Consider the following 24,289-nt stretch of genomic DNA (forward strand, 5'->3'; position numbering starts at 1 on the left):
GCCTCCTCCTGCTTGAAAAGGGAGAAGAGAAAGTGGCCACCTTTTTTTTTTTTTTTTTTTTTTTTTCTGAGACAGGATCTGGCTCTGTTGCCCAGGATAGAGTGCAGTGGCATGATTTTAGCTCACTGCAACCTTGGTCTCCTGGGCTCAAGCCGTCCTCCCACCTCAGCTTCCTAAGTAGTTGGGATTACAGGTGCACACTACCACACCTGGCTAATTTTTTTTTTTTTTTGTAGAGATGAGGTTTCACTACATTACACCGGGTAGTCTCGAACTCCTGGACTCAAGCAATCTGCCTCGCTCGGCCTCCCAAAGTGCTGGGACTACAGGCATGAGCCACGGTGCCTGGCCTCCACCCAACTTAAGTAGGGCTGGGGAAAGACAGTCGAATTATTCTGTATCCAGACTTGCCACCAATCTATTTTTTTTTATGTCTCAAGCATCATCTCTTCTTCTGAGCACTGTTTCCTTCAGGGTACTGAGCATCTTGTTTGGTATGGCTTCTTTCTCATTGCATTGCCTTTTGCAGTCACTCAGTTAAAGCTTCTTTAGTTCTGGTTCTACTAAATCAGTCATTCTTTCTCTACCTGCATTTTGTTTTCCAAAAATTTACTTTACTCTATCCTTTGATTTCTTCTCTCCTGTTCCATTTGTCCTCGTGTAGTTATTATATTTTATGGACATTTTACTGAGATTTCGGGAACGAAAACAAAAGCTAATCTGCAGTATTTAGCTGGGAGTCTTCAAATTGAATTGTAAATAACCCTAAAATATAGGACATAGAAATGTTTCCATGTTTTTCTCTTCCTGGAGAGAGAAAATCATGATTTAATTAAAATCACCCCACCTAAGAGTCACCTATTATATCAGTGGCGATTCTTATTAGAGCTTTCTTAATATAGCAGATCTATACTTGCTATAGATGAAAGCACAATGGAACAAACGAAGGATAAGCAATCACTGAAAAGGAAAATGAATAATATATTTACAAATATACTGGTAAGACACAGAAATTTGTAATGCAAGTCACATTTTAATATAGTTTTAAAGTCTTCCAAATATAGTAGCAAATTTAATCAGAAAAAACACCTGAAACATCTTAACTATTAGTACATTATTTTAAAGGATTATTTCCCTGATTCCTTGGCTTACTAAACTGTATTTATAAAGGTATAAACTACTGATTTTTCCATTTGAGTATTATACTAAATGTAATTTAGCTGATAATTATAAATAAAATTGTTGACTAAGATCATGTTTTAAATAGGGAAAAAAGTTTCCCTTAGTAAACTGGTAAAGACTGTAAGTTGATATTTTCAAACTTTTGATTACTATAAAGTAGTAAGCAATAAAATCCACATCCCCACAAAAACTTCACTTTTCTTCTATTGCAAAAATCTTTACAAAAAATGTACTCTGAGTGCATTATCCGTGTTTGCTTTAAAAATCAACAAACATACCAAAATAATTCATCAAGAAATCAAAGCAAAGAAACAGTTATCAGTATCAGGTTTGCTAAAAGAATAAATTACTGTGGAAGACATCCGAGGAGTCTAAAATGAATTTGTTGTAGCAGTAACAAGGCTTCAGGCTGATTCTTATACTGTTGTTAAAGCAGCCCTCCCGTGCTTTACAGTGAAAAAAATCAGTGAATATTTCTTTATTTTAAAAAATTATCAATAGCTTCAAAATAATGTTTAAACTTGCCTTGAGAACATGTACTGGCTATGATAAATCCATTATTTGACATATTGGGTGAGTTTTTTTAGTGATCTAAAAGAAATTGGCTAAAACCCATACATGACAGGTTTGGGAAGCTCTAACTCAGGTCAGAAAAGTGGGAGAGAGATCAGATCCTTTTTATGGAATGAAAGAGCAACAATTTAAATATCTTTTTTGAAATAGTGAAACATTTTGGGCTCAATTAGTCTTTATTACTTTCTTTCTTTTTACAGAGACGAGGTCTTGCTATATTGCCCAGGCTGGTCTCGAACTCCTGAGCTCAAGCAATCTGCCTGCCTCAGCCTCCCAAAGTGCTGGGATTATAGGCATGAGCCACTACACCTGGCTAGTCTCTATTATTTTCAAAGACAGCAGTAGGCCAGGCACGGTGGCACGCGCCTGTAATCCCAGTACTTTGGGAGGCTGAGGCAGGATCACTTGAGCCCAGGAGTTTGAGACCAGCCTGGGCAACAGTGAAACCCACCTCTATAAACGAAAACAAAAACAAAAACACGAGCAGTAAGCTAAAAATATTAAAATATCAACACTAGCTTATTCTCAAAAACAATTTTCTGCTATATAAAGTGCTTGTAACTAATAATATACATTAAAAATGGCAACTCTTAAGATCATGAATGGCCTGTCTCACTGCCAGCAATGAGAGTAGTATATGCTAAGGGACACCATGATATTTAGAGAAGACAAAAAATATGTATTCAATTATTTCCTATAGTTCTAATACTGTCATTATACCAGTAAGCATAAAATAATCTTATTTTGATATGGTAATTAAACAAAAATTATTATGGCAGAGTAAAATGCAAGGAACTAACTCCTTAGGGATTTCTGACCATTAAGTATTTTTACTAGTTCATAATGAAGTTAAATATGACTAGAACACAATTCAGAAAAAAGAGACTAATTTATTTGTTTTATAAAATAGAATGAGCGCTTAGTTTAGATAATCAAGAGGTGACAGCTTCAGGTATCATCTTCACCAAGAATAAATTTGTAGTGTTTCATATTCATTTAAAGGAATCAGGAAGAAAAATTCATTTAATTTCTGCTGCCTGCCCAGTCACTTCAAAAATTCTTAAGGGAAGCTAAAATAAAAATACCTTGGATTCTGGTTACTTTTTAAAGTAAAAATTTCCAGATGCCTCAAAAGCAGTGAGTTCAATTTGGTGTCTTGTGTTCTGGCAAAGAACAGTTAAGTTTACAGCACTGCAGTCACAGTTTTCAAATGCTGTGACCAATTATTTGAGAGTTATAATCTGCAGGCTCCATTTTCAAAATATGTGGGATAACACTGTCAATTCGTATATTGCCAATGAGACCTTTGAAAAACAATTCTTCAGTGATGGTAGCATTCATCAGTCTTAAAGCTGGCAATCTGAGTAGTAGTCTGGATAACCTAAAAAAAGAAAGAAAAAAGGGAGAGGAACAAGGTTGTAAACCAGAAAGAAATTTAGTAGAAAAATATGAGTAATTTCTGCATGTGGCCTAATTTAATAAAGATAGCATTTTCAAAAGTTAAAATCAAAACTTTAGTATTCTCAAGCCTTAGAACATATGGCAATTACCTGGCTATTAATGCAGTCTGACAGACTCCACAGGGGAAAGCCCTGCTCTTAATGCTACACTGTACTGCCTCCACTTGGCTGTAAGGACTGTGGAACTGAGTTGTTAAACCATGCATCAAGTTATACAATTTTTTTTTTTTTTTTGAGAGAGGGCCTCGCTCTGCTGCACAAACTGGAGTGCAGTGGTGTGAGCTCACTGCAGCCTCAATTCCTTGGACTCAAGTGATCCTTCCCGCCTCAGCCTCCCAAGTAGCTGTGGCTACAGGAGTGTGCCACTATACCTGGCTAATTGTGTTTGTTTTTTTTTTTTTGTAGAGACAGGGTCTCACTATATTACCCAGGCTGGTCTCACACTCTTGGGCTCAAGCAATCCTCCTGCCTTGGCTTCCCAAAGTACTGAGATTATAAGCGTGAGCCATTGTGCCGGGCCAAGTTATACATTTAAGAATGGCGGCTGGGTGCCAGTGGCTCACCTCTAGGAGGCTGAGGTGGGCAGATCACTTGAGGTCAGGAGTTCGAGACCAGCCTGGCCAACATGGTGAAACCTCATCTCTACTAAAAAAAATAATAATAAAATAAAATAAAATCAGCCGGGCATGACCAGCCTGGCCAACATGGTGAAACCTTGTCTCTACTAAAAATACAAAAAATAATTAGCCAGGCATGGTGGCATGTGCCTATAACCCCAGCCACTTGGGAGGCTGAGGCAAGAGAATCATGAGAATTGCTTGAACCTAGGAGGCAGAGGTTGCAGTGAGCCGAGATCATGCCACTGCACTCCAGCCTGGGTGACAGACCAATATTCTATCTCAAGAAAAAGAAAAAGAATGGCTTAGCAACTCATTTCAGGTTTTAAAAATGGCAATGTTTTGTGTTATCAGGACATAAGACATTTTCTTGGTTTTGCTCTGCAAAAAACTACTGGAAGTAGGCAATAGTTGCTATTACTGGGAAAAGCACAGAATGTGGAATCAAGACCGCTGGGTTCAAATCTTGATTGAACTGCCCACTACTTATATAAATGTGTGCTTGCCACTTACTGTCTCTCACAGTGCTGTTGTGAGGATGAATGAAATGATCCCTGCCAATTTCTGTGCCAGGTAGTGAGGTTTCTTAGGGTAAGACCCTATCTTGTGTCAAAGTGCCTTATAAGTTGAAAACTACTATCCAAGGATAATGTATTATTTTTAAGTAACCAACAATGTAAAAAACTGAGAAAGCTGCAGTCACAAAGGAAAAAAATTTAAATACTGTATTTATTTGTATAATGAGGCATAGAGTAACTTTTAAAACTTAAAGATGCTGAAAAACAACCACAACAAAACCACCTTTTCAAAAAGACTGTGGTGGGTTTATCCTTCTGTCCTAACGCCTTGCACTCTAACACCTCAGACCAAATTAGACCAGCAGCCCCCAGGATTATCTTCCTGGAGCTGTGTGCTCTACTCCTCAAATTACTTAGCATCCACATCAAATTACTCAGCTTTTACAGAACTGGTAGAAAGCAGAATAGGAAAACGAGTTAAAGTAAGGCTGATATTTAAGATGAGACTGGCTTATAAATCTACATTATTTAATATATGTAAAAAAATTATTATATGTAAAAATGTTATCTTACTAGTTTGAAGTATGCCAAACTAATAAAATGTTTTATTTATTATAAACAAACACACTTATATAGCCCTTACTGTATGACAGGCACAGTCCTAAGCACTGTACATATATTAACTGATTTAATCCTTAAAATAATTGTAAAAAGTGGGTATTAGTATTATCTCCATTTATAGGTGAGGAAACATGCCCAAGGTTATGAAGCTAGCAAGTGCAGGAGTCAGAATTCAAATCCAGGTACTCTGGCTCTATAACCAGGTGATTAACCCCTCGGCTATAATATCCCTCTTTAAAGAAAGTGGCTCTTATAAAAAAAGAATTTTTCTCAAAGAATATTGGTGAGAAATAGCTTGGAGTGAATTTCATAAACCATGTTTCAAAATTAATTATAAAACAATCTAATGGTATTTGTTTTTATTTTTTAATATTTTTTAGACAGGGTCTCACTCTGTCACCCAGATTGGAGCGTAGGAGTATGATCACAGCTCATTGCAGTCTCACCTCAGCTTTCTGAGTAGCTGGGACTTCAGGCATGCGCCACCAAGCCGGGCTAATTTTTGTATTTTTTTGTAGAAACAGGGTTTCACCATGTTGTCCAGGCTGGTCTCTTGATTATTTTTTATCCTCCTTTTGCTAACAAAATTCATTATTTTATCCAAAGAAAAAGAGTTTGGATTTTAGAGTCAGACTACTTGGGTCACAGTCAGGTGCTATCATTTACTGTGTGACCTTAAGCAAAGTTAACCTCTCTGTGCTGAAGTCTCCTCTTATAAAAAATATAAGAACTGGATGAAATATTTTATGTAACGTACTTGCAACAATGCAATACTGCTTTTTATAGCATTAGTATTTCAAAGTTAAGGTTGCCTAAAACATTTAATTATTGTGAGAGTAGTAATAATGAGATAACAGATCCACAAAAGGTTTTTCAATTATTTTAATTATATAGAATTTAACTCTAGATACCTGTAGGTGTCATCTGGATATGTTTTGGTTATATAATCTTGGAATTCCACATAAGCCTTTTCCTGAAATTTCTCTATCTGTTCCATGTTTTCTAGGCTTGGATGATCTGAAACATTAAAGAAAACATTGGTACCCTAGTTCTGAATGTTCATTTAAGACAGAGTGGATATGAAAAGAGACAGAAAGAATAGTCAAAATAGAAGCCCCATCATAAAATGTGTGGCTCAGGCCGGGCATGGTGGCTCACGCCTGTAATCCTAGCACTTTGGGAGGCTGAGGAGGGTGAATCATCTGAGGTCAGGAGTTCAAGACCAGCCTGACCAACATGGAGAAGCCCCATCTCTACTAAAAATACAAAATTAGCCAGGCATGGTGGCGCATGCCTGTAATCCAAGCTACTCAGGAGACTGAGGCAGGAGAATCACTTAAACCTGGGAGGCAGAGGTTGCTGTGAGCCGAGACAGCGCCATTGCACTCCAGCCTGGGCAACAAGAGTGAAACTCTGTCTTAAAAAAAAAAAAAAAAAAAAAAAAGTGTGGCTCATTCATTCCACAAATATTGATTGAGGCCACCTACTATATACCAAGCACTATATTTTACATATTTAAAATTATTTTTTATCTCGTATACATATGCTAACAACTAATAAAAAATAAGCGGGTGTTACCAAAACAAACAGCTTTCTCTCCATTCCAAAAGTAGTAAGAATGCATTTGATAACTTTGCCTTTAATAGGAGCAAAAGGTAAATGACTCAGCTTAAAAAGACATCTTAAGGCTGGGTGTGGTGGCTCATGCCTGTAGTCCCAGCACTTTGGGAGGCCGAGGTGGGGGGGATCACAAGGTCAGGGGTTCAAGACCAGCCTGGCCAACATGGTGAAACCCCGTCTCTACTAAAAATACAAAAAATTAGCTGGGTGTGGTGGCAGGCACCTGTAATCCCAGCTACTTGGGAGGCTGAGGCAGGAGAATCGCTTGAAACCAGGAGGCGGAGGTTGTGGTGAGCCGAGATTGTGCTACTGCACTCCAGCCTGGGCAACAGAGTGAGACTCCGTCTCCAAAAAAAAAAAAAAGGCATTTTAAATCCATGAAATATTTGCAGATTATATTCTATGCCATATTTTTCTAAGTCAAAAATTCTATTTTTAGGTAAAAAGGTATATAAGAAATTATGAAACCACAAATATTATCTCTATCAGAAAAATAACAGAAACATGAAAAAATCTATATAAGCATTTCAATGGTCACTATAACATTACACAAAAACAGAAATATTAAAAGAACTTCATAAAAATTATGCATAGCTTAAGAAATGTTGAATATGGAAAGCTCTGTTCTCATGGATGAAAATTTTAAAAAGTACTAAATGGAAAAACCTAAAAATACTTAGTAAAATAAAATTACATTAGAATTTAAACTTCAAATCTATGTTCCTTCAATTTTCACCTAAGGAAAATAAAGGTGACAAATTGTGCTAAGAATAGAGACATACGTTACTAACTCATAAGAAACATTAGAAGAAATAGTACAAGCTTTCATGTTCTTACTGGTATTACTGACAGAAAGAAGCAGGTTTCCTCAGATAATTTTATTATGATGCACAAGAACAGAAACATATCAGAATGAAAAATACAGAACCTAAGAGAACAGTCAATTTCTCTTATTCAGAAATTGATCACTGAGAGCTTACCGTCATTTTACCATCTGTGAAAACTGTAAACTGGCAGGAAAACAAGAAACCAGTTTTTTAAATTTGTTGGTAACTCATATAAGATGTTTGGAAATCTAGCCCATCAACATAGCAAATAGTCATCTCTCATTCTGCCATTTAGTAATGCCTAAAAAAATACACCTAAGAATTCAAATGTTGACGTGACAACAGAAATAAAGGTCTATAACATTTTTTACATTTTCATTTATTTTTGAGACAGGGTCTCCCTCTGTCACCCAGGCTAGAATGCAGCAGCATGATTAGAGCTCACTGCAGCCTCAAATTCTCGGGCTGAAGTGATCCTCCCACCTAAGCCTCCCAAGTAGCTGAAACTACAGGTGCACACCAGCACATCCAGCTAATTTTTTCTGTTTTGATTTTTGTAGAGAAGAGGTCTCATTATGTTGCCCAGGCTGGTCTCAAACTCCTGACCAGTCCTCCCATCTCAGCCTCCCAAAATGTGAGGATTACAGGCATGAGCTACTGCGCCCTGCCAAGGTCTATCATATTATTTCACTGACTTCTCAACCTCCCTTTTCATACCCATATAAATGTCTAACATCCTTAAAATTCACCAATTTAAAGTATACAATTCAGGCCAGGCGGGTGGTTCACTCCTGTAATCCCAGCACTTTGGGAGGCCGAGGCGGGTAGATCACCTTAGGTCAGGAGTTCAACACCAGCATGGCCAACATAGTGAAACTTGTCTCTACTAAAAATACAAAAATGAACTGGGTGTGGTGGTACATGCCTGTAATCCCAGCTACTGGGGAGGCTGAGGCAGGAGAATCGTTTGAACACAGGAGGCGGAGGTTGCAGTGAACTGAGATTGCACCACTACACTCCAGCCTGGGCGACAGAGTGAGACTCAGTCTAAAAAAAAAAAGTATACAATTCAATAGTTTTTAGTATGAATATACTGATAATTGTACAACTATCACTACAATCTAATTTTGGAACATTTTTGTCACTCCAAAAAAAACACTCTACCCATTAGCAGTCACTTCCCATTTCTTCCTTCTCCTTAGACCCTGGCAACCACTTACCTATTTTATGTCTATACAGGTTTACCTATTTTGCGTATTTTATATAAATGAAATCAAACAATATGACTGGCTTCTTTCATTTAGCAGAACTTTTAAAGGTTCATCTGTGTTGCAGTATGTGTTAGAATTTCCTTCCTTTTATGGCTGAATGATATTCCATCATATGTATATATTAAATTTATTTCTTCATCTGTTGACCGACATTTGGGTTGTCTCCACTTTTTGACTATTATAAATAATGCTGCTATGACTATTTATATACACATTCTTGCATAGATATATATTTTTCATTTCTCTTGGGCTGACAAGAGTGAAGCTGCTGAGTCATATGATAACTCCATGTTTAACCTTTTGAAGAACTACTGAACTCTTTTCCCAGGTAACTGCACCATTTTACATCCCCACTTGCAACATATGAGGGCTTCTATTTCTCCACATCGTGAAACATTTTATTTTGAATAAAAAGTAAATGTTTATATACCTGGACTGAAGAGTACTATTGCCTTCAGGTAGGCATATTCGTATCCATCAATGCAGAGTTTAACCATGCTGTTACAAAACTCCTGTAGTTTGAAGATGTGCTCCATCAATAATTTTCTTCTTTCTGTTGACATTTTATCTTTAATTAAAAATAAACAAATGCTTCTAGTGTTTGTCTAAAATGAACAACTACTTTCATCCAATATATTTCCCTCTCAGGAATTTTGAAAAATTTTTTAATTCTTAAATTTTTTTTGAGACAGGGTTTTACTCCTGTCGCCCAGGTGGCAGTGCAGTGCAGTGCGGTGATCTTGGCTCACTGCAACCTCTGCCTCCTGGACTCAAGCAGTTCTCCTGCCTCAGCCTCCCAAGTAGCTGGGACTAGAGGCGCATGCCACCGCGCCCAGCTAATTTTTGTATTTTTTGTAGGATGGGGTTTCACTATGTTGCCCAGGCTGTTCTTGAACTCCTGGGCTCAAGTGATTAGCCCACCTGTGCCTCCCAAAGTCTTGGGATTACAGGTGTGAGCCACTGTGCCTGGCCTTCCTCTCATGAATTTCAAGCTTTGAGTATAACCAATCTAGAAATGTTTAAAATTAAGTATTTCTGCAATTATAGCTAAAACTAATCTTAAGATATTATTCATTCAAGAACAAGCTGTTAGTATAATCTGTATAAAAATCGTAAGTAGAAAGGTTTATATTTATTTTTCTTGAGACAGGGTCTCGCTCTGTTGCCCAAGGCTGGAGTGCAGTGGTGCGATCTCAACTCACTGCAACTCTGCCTCCTGGGTTCAAGCAATCCTCCCACCTCAGCCTCCTGAGTAGTTGGGACTACAGGTAAGCGCCACCATGAATGGCTAAATTTTGTATTTTAGTAGAGATGGGGTTTCACCATGTTGGCCAGGCTGGTCTTGAACCCCTGACCTCAAGTGATCTGCCTGCCTCAGCCTCCCAAAGTGTGAGCCACTGTGCCCAGCCAGGTTTATATTTCATCTTAATTCTTTTGATGTTGTAAAAGTACTTTTAAAAAATGAATTATTTTCTCATGGTAATTGCTTTTGGGGAAAAAACTATATATAAAAAATGGATTTGGATGTTTATGGCACTTGGCTTGTTAAAAAAAACAACAAACCAAACAAACAAAAAAAGAAAACTCTAAATGTAATGGTTCCTTTTTTTTTTTTTTTTGAGATGGAGTCTCGCTCTGTCGCCCAGGCTGGAGTGCAGTGGCACGATCTCGGCTCACTGCAACCTCTGCTTCCTGGGTTCAAGCAATTCTCTGCCTCAGCCTCCTGAGTAGCTGGGATTACAGGCGCTTGCCACCACGCCTGGCTAATTTTTTTGTATTTTTAGTAGAGACGGAGTTTCACCATGTTTGCCGGGCTGGTCTTGAACTCCTGACCTCATGATCCACCCGCCTAGGCATCTCAAAGTGCTGGGATTACAGGCGTGAGCTACCGCGCCCAACACCCCCCTCCCCACCCTTTTTATTTTTTTAAAGAAATGGTTCTCACTCTGTTGTCCAAGCTAGGGTGTAGTGGTGCCATCATAGCTCACTGCAACCTCAAATTCCTGGGCTCAAGTAATCCTCTGCCTCAGATTCCTAAGTAGCTGGGACTATGACTATAGGCATGCGCTACCATGGCCAGCTAATTTTTAAAAAATTTCTGTAGAGGTGGGGTACCACAATGTTGTCCAGGCTAGTCTCGAACTCCTAGGCTCAAGCAGTCTCACCTCAGCCTCCCAAAGGGCTGGAATTACAGGTGTGAACCACCCCACCTGGCTGAAATGTTTGCTTTCAAGATATACCTTTGAGAAGATAGGATGTAAAGATAACCATCTGAAACACTAGACAACTAAAAGTACATAAGACTCAAATTTTGGTAATAGGATTTTATTTAAGCTTATATTGGTTGGGAAAAAATGAGCAAAACCATCTACATGTTTCACTACCAAGACTACTATAATAAAAACAGATATTTAGTAAAAACACTGTTAAGAAGAAAAAAACTGAAGCAGAATAAAGTTTTACAATAAAGATTTTAATTTATTGTAGAGGGACATGTTTAAAACCCATCCATTAGTAATTAGTCAACCATAGCTTTCCTGAAGGTAGGCTTTATAACCATTACAGGCATATAAGACATGAACCAGGGGTAGGAGTCCATAAGTAAGATGGGAATGTGATGCTGCCTTCTAGTAGATCTATTTTTGATGACATTTTAAGGTGATTACCCCTCTGCTGTTAAACATAAGGAGGAAGCAAATGATTTAAAAATTATATAAAACAATAAGAAATAGAATATGCTAAAGAACTAAAAGGTAGTCCCCAATTTATAAATTATTCCTGAGCTCAAAAGGCAATTTTCCCCATTTGTTGATGGGGCACTGTTTTGGGTAGTCATAAGCCATTCTATAGTTAAGCATTTATAAATCAGTGATTGCTCGTCTTGTGAAATGAATGAGGGCTGCAATTACCTTGGCATCTAGGAAAGGAAAAACAGAATAAAAAGGATTGTTCCTGACTCTTCAGAACTATTTAGGTGAGAGAATACACTCTGATGAATTGATACAAAATCAACCTATCTTAGGATTCAAAGGGCTATAATAAAGAAAGGTCATTTAAAAATTGCTGAGTAGTATATGTTTTAAAATATTTGACCACCTCTACATAAGCTCACCCTGGATTCTTTGATAGTTGCACAAAAATTCACAAGGCCTGGTCAGAAATAGCCTGCCAGACTTAAGTATACTGTTTTCAATTTTGTTGCACTCTATTTAAAAAATATTTTTAGAGGATTAGTAAATTTATAAAATTGTAAAAATTATCTAAAGTAAGAAGAGCATTGGTACCTAAAACACTAATATAATAATTATTAGATATCTAACTTTAGTCATAACATTTAATGAAACTCATGCCTCCTCCTACAACCTGGAAAAGGTAAGGAAGGTGCTTTTTACCTTGTTGAAGACTATTGTGAAGACAATTGACAAATGTTGCTAATATAGTTGCTACATTCATCACTTGCCAGCACTGGGCAAGACCAAGAGTAAAAAGTTCATTCCAGTAAGCTTTCACCAGTGATATGCTGTTTTCTTGCCTATTAAAAACAGTAATAAAAGCACAAATCAGATATTATTAAAATAAGTTTTATAAACCTTACAGCTAGTCCAAATACTTAAAAACAGCATATTACTAAACTAAAATTATTCTAGAAAGATTTGAGCAAGTCTGTGTTTTGTATAGCTGATAACAAAATGAGAAATGAGGAATGCTTAGGCATTTAAATAGTAGCTAGCTCATCAATCAGCCAGTTTATAAGAACAATTGCAAGTAATATTCAAACTAAAAAAGTTGGGGCTTTAACTTCACATTTCATAGAAATGGAATAAAGATTGTTCTTAAAAGCAAAAGCATATATTAAAAAAAAACTTTTGCTTTGAATATAGGTAAATACCTTTTAAAAGAAAGAGCAATTCAAATTATTTTATTGTTTTGAGACAGAGTCTTGCTCTGTTGCCCAGGCTGGAGTGCAATGGCGTGATCTCTGCTCACTGCAACCTCCACCTCCTGGGTTAAAGCTATTCTCCTGCCTCAGCCTCCTCAGTAGCTGGGATTACAGGCATGCACCACCACATGTGGCTAATTTTTGTATTTTTAGTAGAGACAAGGTTTTGCCGTCTTGACCAGGCTGGTCTTGAACTCCTGACCTCAGCTGATCCGCCTGCCTTGGCCTCCCAAAGTGTTGGGATTACAGGCGTGAGCCACTGCTCCCAGCCTCTAGAATTATTTTATAGTAGGCAAGCAACCAATTTTAGGAGAAAAATGGTTCATTGTATGTTTCAGAGGAGATATTAGTATCCCTATAAATAAGATACCCAGGATTTTACTATGAATAACAAGAGATTAGAAAGGTCAAAAGTTCTCTCCTGAATTTCTAAGTAACTGATCTCAGCAGCACAAGGAGGCTGAGGCAGGAGAATGGTGTGAACCTGGGAGGCAGAGCTTGCAGTGAGCAGAGGTCGCACCACTGCACTCCAGCCTGGGTGACACAGCGAGACTCCGTCTCAAAAAAAAAAAGGAAAAAAAAAAAGACCCCCATCTCTACAAAAAATGAAAACATTAGCCGAGCATAGTGGCATGTGCCTGCCGTCCCAGCTACTTAAACCTATTTATCCATTTGAAATTAGGCAAACTTCCCAGGTCTCAGGTTGTCTAATGATACAAAATGCAGAGACACTATACGTCCTATATCTTGCTCAGAGTTATTAAGAGGTGAAAGGTAAGAATTAGCTGGGGCTGGGCGCAGTAGCTCACGTCTGTAATCCCAGCACTTCGGGAGGCTGAGGCAGACGCATCACTTGAGCCCAGGAGTTGCAAACCAGCCTGGGCAACATGGCGAAACTCTATCTCTACAAAAAATACAAAAATTAGCTGGGTGTGGAGGTGCACACCTATAGTCTCAGCTACTCGCAGGCTGAGGTGGGAGGATCACCTAAGCCTGGGGAAGTTGAGGCTTCGGTGAGCTGTGATCACACCACTGCACTCCAGCTTGGGTGACAGAGTGAGACCCTGTCTCAAAAAAAAGAGAGAGAATTAACTGGGTGCTGTGGCACATGCCTATAGTCCCAGCTACTCAGGAGGGTTGAGGTGGGAGGACTGCTTGAGGCCAGGAGTTTGAAGGGGTAGCACACCATGATTGCATCTGTGAAGAGACACTGCACTCCAGCCTCTAACCTGGCACAGGAAGACCCTGTCTCAAAAAAAAAAAAAAAATTGAGAAAGTATATGCCAGGTACTGGAGAAATAGCAATTAAGAGATTAAGTTTGCCTTCATGAAAAAAAGGGGAAATAACAAATATATAATTTCAAGTATTTTATATAAATATACATATATGATTATACATAATTTTAGGTAATAAAAATTCTACATTAGTATAAAGGATGTATATTAGAAAATGGGAAGGTTCAGATAAGGTGGTTAGAGAAGGCATTTCTGAGGTGGTGACATTTGACTGGAGAAAGATGGCAGAGAATTAAAACAAACAAACACAAAAACCAAAAATCAGATCTAGGGGAATAGTATCCCAGGGAGAACAAGGGCAAATGTGCTAAGGTGAGAACAAGCATATTCAATAAAACAATAGATATTCAATAAAAATTGTTAAGTGAATTACTAAATGCTATCCTATTGTCTTGGAAGGTCCTTTCGTAGCCTTGTTTTCCTGGCTAATACCTACTGATCCCTTAAAATATAGCTCAGAGTTCACTTTCTAGAAGGAACATTATTCCTCTCTCAACATATTCATTCCCCCTTCAGTGTCACGCACACACGTATCCTCACTGAAGGCAGAGACTCCCTTGCGCATTTCTGTATCTCAGAGACCAATGCAGTACATGGTACACAGAAAGAATTCTGCAAATGATTTCTGATCTTAGCGAGTACAGAACAGGCAGATGTGAGAACTTTGATGAAAAGAGCTGTGGGCCCTTTTACAATTAATCTTTAAACCAAACCTACAGACTTTATTATAAATAAGATGATGCAACTATAAGATTTCTTTCCTTAAATCTCTGGAGAGATATAAGTTGGTAAGAACGTCCTGATAGGAAATATGTCCAACTTAATGAATGGTACTTATATATTTTTCTTCTTAATAAAGCTTTAAAATTAGGATAATCAGTATGTTTAACAGAAATCATTCGTTAAGAATCACAGCCTTATGACATTACATTTTATTAAATAATCGAACATACTTGCAACAAATGCTAATACTGTCAACTCAGTCACAGCAAGTTTTTTTTTCTGAGAATTATTAATGTGAAATTTTAACTTCAGGCTGATCTCTTTTCCATTCAGTATCCAAGAAGGATCACTGGCCACAAGAAACTGCCTGTCATTTGAAAGTAAAGTTTAAATGCAAAGAAAACCGGTATTTTATAATATTCCTATAGAAAATGCTTAAAAATATCAATCTTAAACAAAATCAAAGGAGATAAAAATAAAGGATACTATTTTCATTAAAGATGGATAAAATCCAGAATTGAGGAAGAGGTGAGGAAATAAGTATTCATTCTCATACACTGCTGACGTGAACATAAACTGGATCAACATCTTTTCAGAGAACAGTTTGGTAGTACCCATCGAAAGTTGAAATGTGCACTTTCTTAGACCCAGCAATTTCACCTCTAAGAAACTATGTTATAGAAGTACAGTCATGCATAGCACAATGTTTTAGTCAACAATGTACCACATATACAATGGTGGTCCCTTAAGATTGTAATACCATATTTTTATGGACACTTCTCTATGTTTAGATACACAAACATTTACTATTGTGTTACAACTGCCTATGGTATTCAGTACAGTAACATGCTATACAGGTTTGTCCTAGGTTTGTAGCCTAGGAGCACTAGGCTGTAGCATATAGCCTTGATGTGTAGTAGGTTTGTGTAAGTACACTCTATGATGTTCACAATGACAAAACTGCCTAATGATGCATTTCTCAGATTACATAGCCATCATTAAATGGGCAACACATGCCTATACTAACATGACCATACTAAAAAAAGTGGGCGAAAATACATACACAATGCCACAAAATGCACATTGTAGCACTGGATATAATAACAAAGAAAACTGGCAACAACCCAAATGTCTACTAATAAGGAATGAATAAGTGCATAAAATGGAATACTATAATAGAAGCCATGAGGACAAATGGGGTAAATTTACATGTACTAACATAGGAAGAAGTCTATGAGTGTAAAAAGCAAGGCAAAGAATAGGATGTGTAAATATGTGTATGTATTTAATTGTCTAATAAGTATCTCACAGAAACATTCTAGTAGGACACCAAACTGTTAACAGTGGGGTTAGTTACCTCTGGTGAGTGAGGTTTTACTTTATAATCCTATACTTCAATATTACTTTAAACATTAAAAAAAATTAAAAGCTAACATGAAGGAAGTTAGAGTAAACTCAGTTTCACTTTTAACCTCTGATTCTGAAGTTTTAAGGAGGAAACAGCTAACCAAAGTAGTTTGCTAGTAAACACAGGAAAGGAAAAATAAATGGAAAAAAATCAGAGCTGGCTTGTGCTATGCATCTTGTAGTAAGAAAGTACCTTGGCATTGCTGGAGAAGCTCAGAAAAAAAGGAGTATAAGTGCAAAGGATAAGAATACCAAAATTATTACTAAGGAAAAAAGACACCAGTGGCAGATGAGAAATAACCTACCAGATTATTGTGTTTCCAAAAGAAAAGGGAAAAGGACTGTAGAAACCAACTACAGAAAGGTATCTATTTACATTTATCTAAACCCCAAACCAAAAACCCTGATGGTATAGCTAGCTATGTTTTTAAAAGTTCAATTATGTTAGGAAAGAAAAACAGCAAGGCTACTCTAAAAAGATGGTCTTTAAGAGAATGACGAAGAATGACCTTTTATTATCTACTTTGCAGCAGGCAATGGCTTAGATGCATTTACATTCATTATCTCACCTATGTGATGTAGTTCATAATGAAGTGTTTCTGCTCCCAATTTACAGACACTGGGCCTCATTTAAGTTACGTGGTCCAAAGACACAAAAGCCAGCAGATGTATAAAAACAGAATTTGAACCTTTATGCTCCTTTAAACCTCATTACACAATTTAGCAAGTGAAATGCTAAAGTCAGTAAATTTCTCAGTAGAGACTCCTCCATTTAAGGTTAATATTTTGGGATGGTAAGGGCATGTTTGCTACCAGTTTTTCCTGTTAGGAAAATAAATGACTATTGTAGTTTATGTTCAAAACATCTTTAAGAAGCAAAAAGAGCTGAGTAGAGACTGTAGTTAAGGTTATCACTAAGGCATCTAAAAAGCAACACGAATGTTGAGATTAAAAAAAAAAAAAAAAAAGGCCGGATATGATGGCTCATGCCTGTAATCCCAGTACTTTGGGAGGCTCGGCTGGGAGAATTGCTTGAGGCAAGGAGTTCAAGATCAGCCTGGACAACAGTGAGACCTCCATCTCTAGTTTTTAAAAAAGCATTAACTTGTAAAATTAGTAAATATGTTAATTTCTTTTACAAATAGGTACAGGTATTTTTCTCTAACTACTACACTATATTGTGGGTTTACTTTTTTTTTTTTTTTTGAAGGAGAGTCTCACTCTGTCACCCAGGCTGGAGTACAGTGGCATGATCTCAGCTCACTACAACCTCCGTCTCCTGGATTCAAGTGATTCTCCTGCCTCAGCCTCCTGCGTAGCTGGGATTACAGGCAGCTGCCACCATGCCTGGCTAACTTTTGAATTTTTAGTAGAGACAGGGTTTTGCCATGTTGCCCAGGCTGGTCTTGAACTCCTGGCCTCAAGTGATCCGCCTGCTTTGGCCTCCCAAAGTGCTGAGATTACAGGCATGAGCCACCAGGCCTGGCCTATATTGTTAACATTCATTATAGGACTCACAATTAGAGGTTATATAATTGTTTATACTATTTATTTTCATAAAGGAATATAACTTTTGAGCCCCTCATATCTGGTAATACTGAAGGCACCAGTCCTCAGGGAAAAGTATCAGTGATAGTCAAAATGAACCTAAAAAGTTACAGGTTTCAAAACTACAAAGTTACAGGAAACATTACATTATGCTTCAGTGGTAATTTAAAAGATTCAGCTGTCTGGCTTGGCATTTAATGGAAGGCTATTGATTACATTATTCAATAAATAAAGTCTCCTGTGGTAAACGGTGGTGGCTTGGAGCTTTTGGTTATATTTTAAGAATCTAGGTAGAGATGACTGCTGCCATACTTACTCCAGGCAAATCATGACAAGTATTCTCCACTACCCCGCAATGGAATCTACCACTATTCATATAGTCACTTAACCTAAATTTTGCAGGGAGAACTTAAAACCAACAACTGAATTACTCTAAGTACTGAAACTACAAATCTTAAAACAGAAAATCAATACCTTTGTAAAATACAGAAGCCTTGTAAAATATTAGTAGTATTAACTGTATACTGACAATCAACACCTTTGTAAAATATAGAAGCCTTGTAAAATACAAAGGTACTAACCATGCACTGTTTAGTAAAATTATTTAAGTTACTGTTCCCTTCAATTAAAGTGATCAAAACAATCTTGATTTCAGAAAATGATTAATGTTGCTTATCTGTTTCTCTCTGTAAAATTAGGACTTTGTCACCAACTTTTATATTTTTAGATAAAAATGCAATCTTGGCCGGGCACGGTGGCTCACGCCTGTAATCCCAGCACTTTGGGAGGCCCAGGCAGGCGGATCACGAGGTGAGGAGATCGAGATCGGCCTGGCTAACACGATGAAACCCTGTCTCTACTAAAAATACAAAAAATTAGCCGGGTGTGGTTGCAGGTGCCTGTAGTCCCAGCTACTTGGGAGGCTGAGGCAGGAGAATGGCCTGAACCCGGGAGGCGGAGCTTGCACTGAGCGGAGATCGTGCCACTGCACTCCAGTCTGGGCGACAGAGCGAGCCTCCATCTCAAAAAAAAAAAAAAAAAAAAAGGAACCTAATGCCAGTTTCTACTTTTAGAATAGCTTTTATTTCCATATAATAGAATTTTTCCATCATGAGCACTTTGTCCTTATCCGTATGATTAAGTAAACACATAAATAAGATCTATGAATCATCTAGATAGGGATAAAAAATAAGAGTTTACATAATGGCCTTGACTGCTAGATCAAGTTATTCTAATTACAAAGAATCTTGTGGTTGTTACATTGAAACTGATTCTCAATACAGATCACAGGAAAATGTGGCTACCACTATAAAAATGACTTATTTTATAAACAGAAACCTCCTGAGGCCTTATTTTTGGTTTCTCAACATCTGCGTTATTTCCATAGGATAATTATACTCAATTTAATAGAAGTACTTAAGATCAATGGTGGTGTAAATAATTCAAGGAGTTCAAACCACTCCCCAAAATTCCTCCCTTTTGTTGTTTTATTATAATAACTGATAGCCTATCATGAAAAATATCACCACGTTACTTTTTAGACATGTGAATGTGAGTTACAAGATGAGTGAACTACACTTAATATTTTAAAATTAGTCAATTGCTGGCTAGGCACAGAGGCTCACGCCTATAACACCAGCACTTTGGGAGGCTGAAGTGAGCAGATCACTTGAGGCCAGCAGTTTGAGAACTGCCTGGCCAACATGGCGAAATCCCATCTCTACTAAAAATACAAAAATTAGCTGGGCTTGGTGGTGCACACCTGTAGTCCCAGCTACTCAGGAGGCTGAGGCATAAGAATTGCTTGAAACTGAGAGGTGGAGATTGCAGTGAGCCGAGATCACGCTACTGCAATCCAGTATAAGTACTTATTTTAAAAATTTTGGTCGATAATAGACTAATTGTTCTCCAGATTACCCCACCCCTCAGTAGTGTGTACTTGGTTTTCTGTATCCTCACTATATTTGATACTATTGATCATTTCAGTAATTACAAAGTAGAAAAAAGACTCTAACCCAACTAACTAAAAAAAAATCAATTGCCAATATGCAAATTTACATTTTATTTTTTTCTACAAACACACACACTGGACGTTGGGCGAGGTGGTGCATGCCTGTATGGGAGGCATCCATATAGGAGGATTGCTTGAGCCCAGGAGTTCCAGATCAGTCTCAATGACAGAGGAAGAACTCATCTCTTAAACAAAAAAAACCCCAGAAAACTAGAGAAATGCTGAAAATTGAATGTTAAAAAAGGACTAACAATCATTTTAAAGGTTAACCATCCTAAATCAGGCTTTTAGTCTATGTAACTATAATATCTGAGCACATGATTTAATGCATAGTATAATGCTGATTAATAAACCAAATTATAATGTTAAATATGCCTTTATTCAATTCTCTGTATGCCTTTTACAATCATGTTCACATATTTCTTTGTTATATTCAAAATAGTCTTTGAGGATAACAGGTGGGCAATTATTATTCCCATTTGGCAAATGGAAGAACAGGTATACAGGATGTGAAACTGAATTGTTTACAAAATCATACTGGTGAATAGGGTCCTAGGAGTTGAATAAAAACTTTCTAACTTTGAATAAAAACTTTCTAACTATGGGCTTAACTTTTTCCATTGCTTTGCCTTTAGACACACCAGTTATTTTAAAACAATTTAAATACATTTGGCAAACTTTAGGTAAAGCTTGAGTTTCTTATAGTAGGCCATTTTCTATCTCATCTGATTTCTTCAGAACAGAATGTAGATATACTCTTTTTTAAGAGACAGGGTCTAGCTCCGTCCCAGGCCGGAGTGCAGTAAGCAATGTGATCATGGCTTATTTCAGCCTCGAACTTCTGGGCTAAAGTGATTGGCCCCCCTTAGCCTCTAGAGTAGCTGGAACTACTAGTGTGCATCACCATGCCCAGCTAATTAAAACATTTTTTTTCTTTTTGTAGAGACAGGGTTTCACTCTGTTGCCCAGGCTGGTCTTAAACTCCTGGCCTCAAGCCATCCTCCTGCCCTGACCTCCCAAAATGCTGGGATTACAGGCGTTAGTTACCATGCCCAACCTCAGATGTACTCTTGAGTGGTAAGACTAACCCTCTAAGTCATTGTAGTGGTACTATGAGGTTTTACATTTTCTTTTTTTTTTTTTGAACCACATGATTGGAAAACAATTATCTCTACTTTTAACATAACCACTGTAGGCAAAATTCAGCTCTTTAGTAACATGCCTGGGATGAACACTGAAACAGTAGTGATGAGAGAGAAACAAGAACCTAGGGCAGTCTTACAGTCTCTCTATCTTTGAGCCAATGAAAGATGAGGCCTGTTACAAATGCTAGCCATAGTCTTATCAATTCTACTGATCATATTCCATCCAAATTCTTAACTTAGTCAAACTACAAAATATGGATACTCTTCCACATAAATACAGAGAAAATACTAGTTAGCTGCCATGATTTGTCATTTGAATGACACAACTTAAAGCTATAATGTTATACTGTTTTTTCCTTTAATGCAAATCTTCCCAAAATAAAAAGTTTTGTTTAATGTACATTTGCACTACAAAATCACATTTATATTCAAGATTTCAAAACACTCACCCTAGAGCCTGGAAAGAAGGAATCGAAAGTGCCCAGTGCATTGATAAGAACAGCAGTCTGGAGGCAGACTCCCCAATGTAGTGCACATTCAGGTACTCAGGCATAGGAGAAGGCATGGTGAGCTAGTATGAACAGGGATTTAGGTAAATTATCTTATGACTGAAAAGTTCTAAATTATCATTTCTTTGAAAAAGTTTAAACGTAACACATCAAATGAGAGCTAATATATTCACAAAAAAAGCTAATCTTGAAATAATCCAAGTCACTAGAATTTACAGCTAACAGGGCTTAGAATAAATAAGTAGCCCATAGTTTCTAACAAGCCAATATTTAGACAAGCAGAACCTCAACAAATATCAACGATGATATTATCTGGTTATGTTACTTCCTGTCTTGGTCTAACAATATGTTTCTTTTCCTTCCTTCTCTCCATTAATGATAGCATACAACAAATTCAGTTTAAGGAGAAATTCTGTCCGCTAAATGTTTCTTTCATTTAGGCTAAGGGGTTAACAAATTCAAATGCTTACAAAGCCAGGAGAGTAAGGAGTGCAACAGGCTTGCTGGTACCAACTGGGAAGAGCATATTTATTCCCAGATAAAGGACACAGCTGTGAATTGAATTCAGTGCAGTGAAAACATATGGAATTGTGGGCTGAGCACTGCCAGCTCTTTCAGTTTTTCAAAGAGCACATTCTGTGTGAAACCTCCCTATTTAAAAAAACTGGCAGGCCGGGTGTGGTGGCTCGTGCCTATAATCCCAGCACTTTGGGAGGTGGAGACAGGTGGATCACGATGTCGAGAGATCGAGACCATCCCGGTCAACATGGTTAAACCTCATCTTTACTAAAATACCAAAAAAAAATTGAGCCGTGTGTGGTGAGCAGTCCCAGCTACCCGGGAGGCTGAGGCAGGGGAATTGCTTGAACCTGGGAAGTGGAGGTTGCAGTGAGCCAAGATTGAGCCACTGCACTCCAGCCTGGGCAACAGAGTGAGACTCCATCTCAAAACAAAACAAAACAAAAAAACCCAAACTGGCACTAAATAAAAAAAAAATGTTTTAAAAATTACAGGTATGCCTGTGGACATACTACTAGTAAGTGGTCAGTTTATATTGCTGATCTAGTTCTTTAAAATGTCTGACCACTGTTGAAACTTTTTTCTACTTTGTAATTACTGAAATGACCAATAGTATCAAGTATAGTGAGGATACAGAAAACCAAGTACACACTACCAAGGGTGGGGTAGTCTGGAGAAGAATTAGTCTACCATCTACCAAAATTTTGAAAGTAAGTACATGCAATAATACCACTTCTAAATCTCTGTTCCAGCAAAATACTTGCATACATGCACAAAAAAAGCATGTGTAAGGATGTCCATTGCAGCTCTACATCTAACAATGAAATTAAATGCTGGCAACAACCCAAATTTCTATCACTAGAGAAAAGAATAATCCATGCTATAGAATATATGTGGGCATTAAAATTGGAAAGATAAACTGAGATGTAATGGTATACAAAAAATCTCACAGACATCCAAGTGGAAAAAACTGTAAAACAGTATGTATTAAATAGATGACCCAATTTATGTTAAAGAGTACATATATATGTATACCTAAAAAGTACAGAAGGAAACACGCCACACAGTTAACAGTGGCTACCTCTGGGTGGGGTAGGTAGATGTGTCCATATGTATTTTTCTGGGGAATGACTATTATAGCTTTCATCAGATTCTCAAAGGTATCTTTTTTTTTTTTTTTTTTTTGAGATGGGGTCTCGCTCTGTCACCCAGGCTGGAGTGCAGTGGCGTGATCTCAGCTCTCTGCCCAGGTTCAAATGAATGTCCTTCCTCAGCCTCCCCAGTAGCTGGGACTACAGGCGTGTGCCACCAGGCCCCGCTAATTTTTTTTGTATTTTTAGTAGAGACGGGGTTGTACCACGTTGGCCAGGCTCGTCTCAAACTCCTGACCTCAGGTGATCCGCCCGCCTGGGCCTCCTAAAGTGCTAGGATTACAGGCATGAGCCACCGCACCTGGCCTGTCAAAGGTATCTGCTATCTAAAATACCGCACCTGGCCCCTCAAAGGTATCTTCTATCTAAAAGGCTTGAGGTTTGAAACAAAGAAAAGTTACATAAAAATGTAAAAAACAACCCCTGCCTTTGTTCATTATTAGCCAAGAATGGTTTACCTATTTATAAATTGTACCAAGTAATAAAACAAAAGGGCAATTAATAGTTGAAATTCTGTAAGTGAGAAGAAAATTTTTTACATATTTAAGAATGTTTGAGAAAGGTTTACTACAGCAGTAAGTTAAAATACAATTATTTAAGACAATTCTTGGCTGAGCGCAGTGGCTCGTGCCTGTAATTCCAGCACTTTGGGAGGCCAAGGTGAGAGGACTGCTTGAAGCCAGTAGTTCAAGACCGGCCTGGGCAACATAACGAGACCCATTTCTACAAAAAAAAAAAAAAAAAAACCGACACACAAAACAAAAAATTAAAAATTTAGCCAGGAGTGATGGCTCACACCTGTATCCCAGCAACTCGGGAGGCTGAGGTGGAAGAGCTGCTTGAACCTAGGAATTTTGAGACCAACCTGGGAAACACAGTAAGACCTCATCTCTAAAAATAAAAAAATTAGCTGGACATGGTGGTGTGCACCTATAATCCCAGTTACTTAGCAGACTGAGGCAGAAGGATCCCTTTAGCCCAGGAGGTAGAGGTTGCAGTGAGCCAGGATTGTGCCACTGAACTCCAGCCTGGGTGACAGAGCAAGACCACATCTTAAAAAACAAAATATATCATATCTTTTCAGAATTACCCAAGGTGAGTAAAAAGGAAGTCTGAAAAACTAAGGGAATTACCAAAAATTACTAGTTTTGGGGGAAGGGGCAAGTAAGATGCAAAACAACAACAAAAAAGTCCTTTGTAAGGCTAGGCGTGGTGGCTCAGGCCTGTAATCCCAGCACTCTGGGAGGCCAGGGCAGGCAGATCACTTGAGGTCAGGAGTTCAAGACCAGCCTGCCAATGAGGTAAAACCAGGTCTCTACTAAAAATACAAAAAATTAGCCGGGCATGGCGG

At 37.8% G+C, this 24,289-nt stretch overlaps 1 protein-coding gene across 13 annotated transcripts in view, besides 1 other annotated feature; it reads right to left on the minus strand.

The window, feature by feature from the left end:
- Positions 1–961: 961 nt before the first annotated feature.
- The window catches only part of NR2C1 (nuclear receptor subfamily 2 group C member 1), a 53,390-nt gene continuing 30,062 nt past the window's right edge, over positions 962–24,289 (minus strand). For 2 of the 13 annotated variants that reach the window (NM_003297.4, XM_006719585.3), the window contains 5 exons: positions 21,209–21,330; positions 12,082–12,221; positions 9,120–9,257; positions 5,883–5,988; positions 962–3,136 (listed from right to left, as the gene is read on the minus strand). In NM_003297.4, coding sequence (NP_003288.2) covers positions 2,962–3,136; positions 5,883–5,988; positions 9,120–9,257; positions 12,082–12,221; positions 21,209–21,330 — 681 coding nt within the window. In that variant the 3' untranslated portion in view covers positions 962–2,961. Of the gene's footprint in view, positions 3,137–5,882; positions 5,989–9,119; positions 9,258–11,141; positions 11,607–12,081; positions 12,222–21,208; positions 21,331–24,289 lie in introns of those variants that run through there. The other 11 variants (XM_005269133.3, XM_047429495.1, XM_011538717.3 and 8 more) reach the window with 11 other exon arrangements.
- Positions 3,731–3,963: a silencer, noted in NCBI's record as "fragment chr12:95416774-95417006 (GRCh37/hg19 assembly coordinates)". NCBI's record gives its function as "represses an EF-1alpha promoter that drives an FKBP-Casp9 reporter gene in an ReSE screen in K562 erythroleukemia cells {active_cell/tissue: K562}" and the evidence as "EXISTENCE:reporter gene assay evidence [ECO:0000049][PMID:32094911]".

The sequence above is a fragment of the Homo sapiens genome, chromosome 12 (genome assembly GCF_000001405.40).
Source record: "Homo sapiens chromosome 12, GRCh38.p14 Primary Assembly".
NCBI classification, from domain to species: Eukaryota; Metazoa; Chordata; class Mammalia; order Primates; family Hominidae; genus Homo; species Homo sapiens.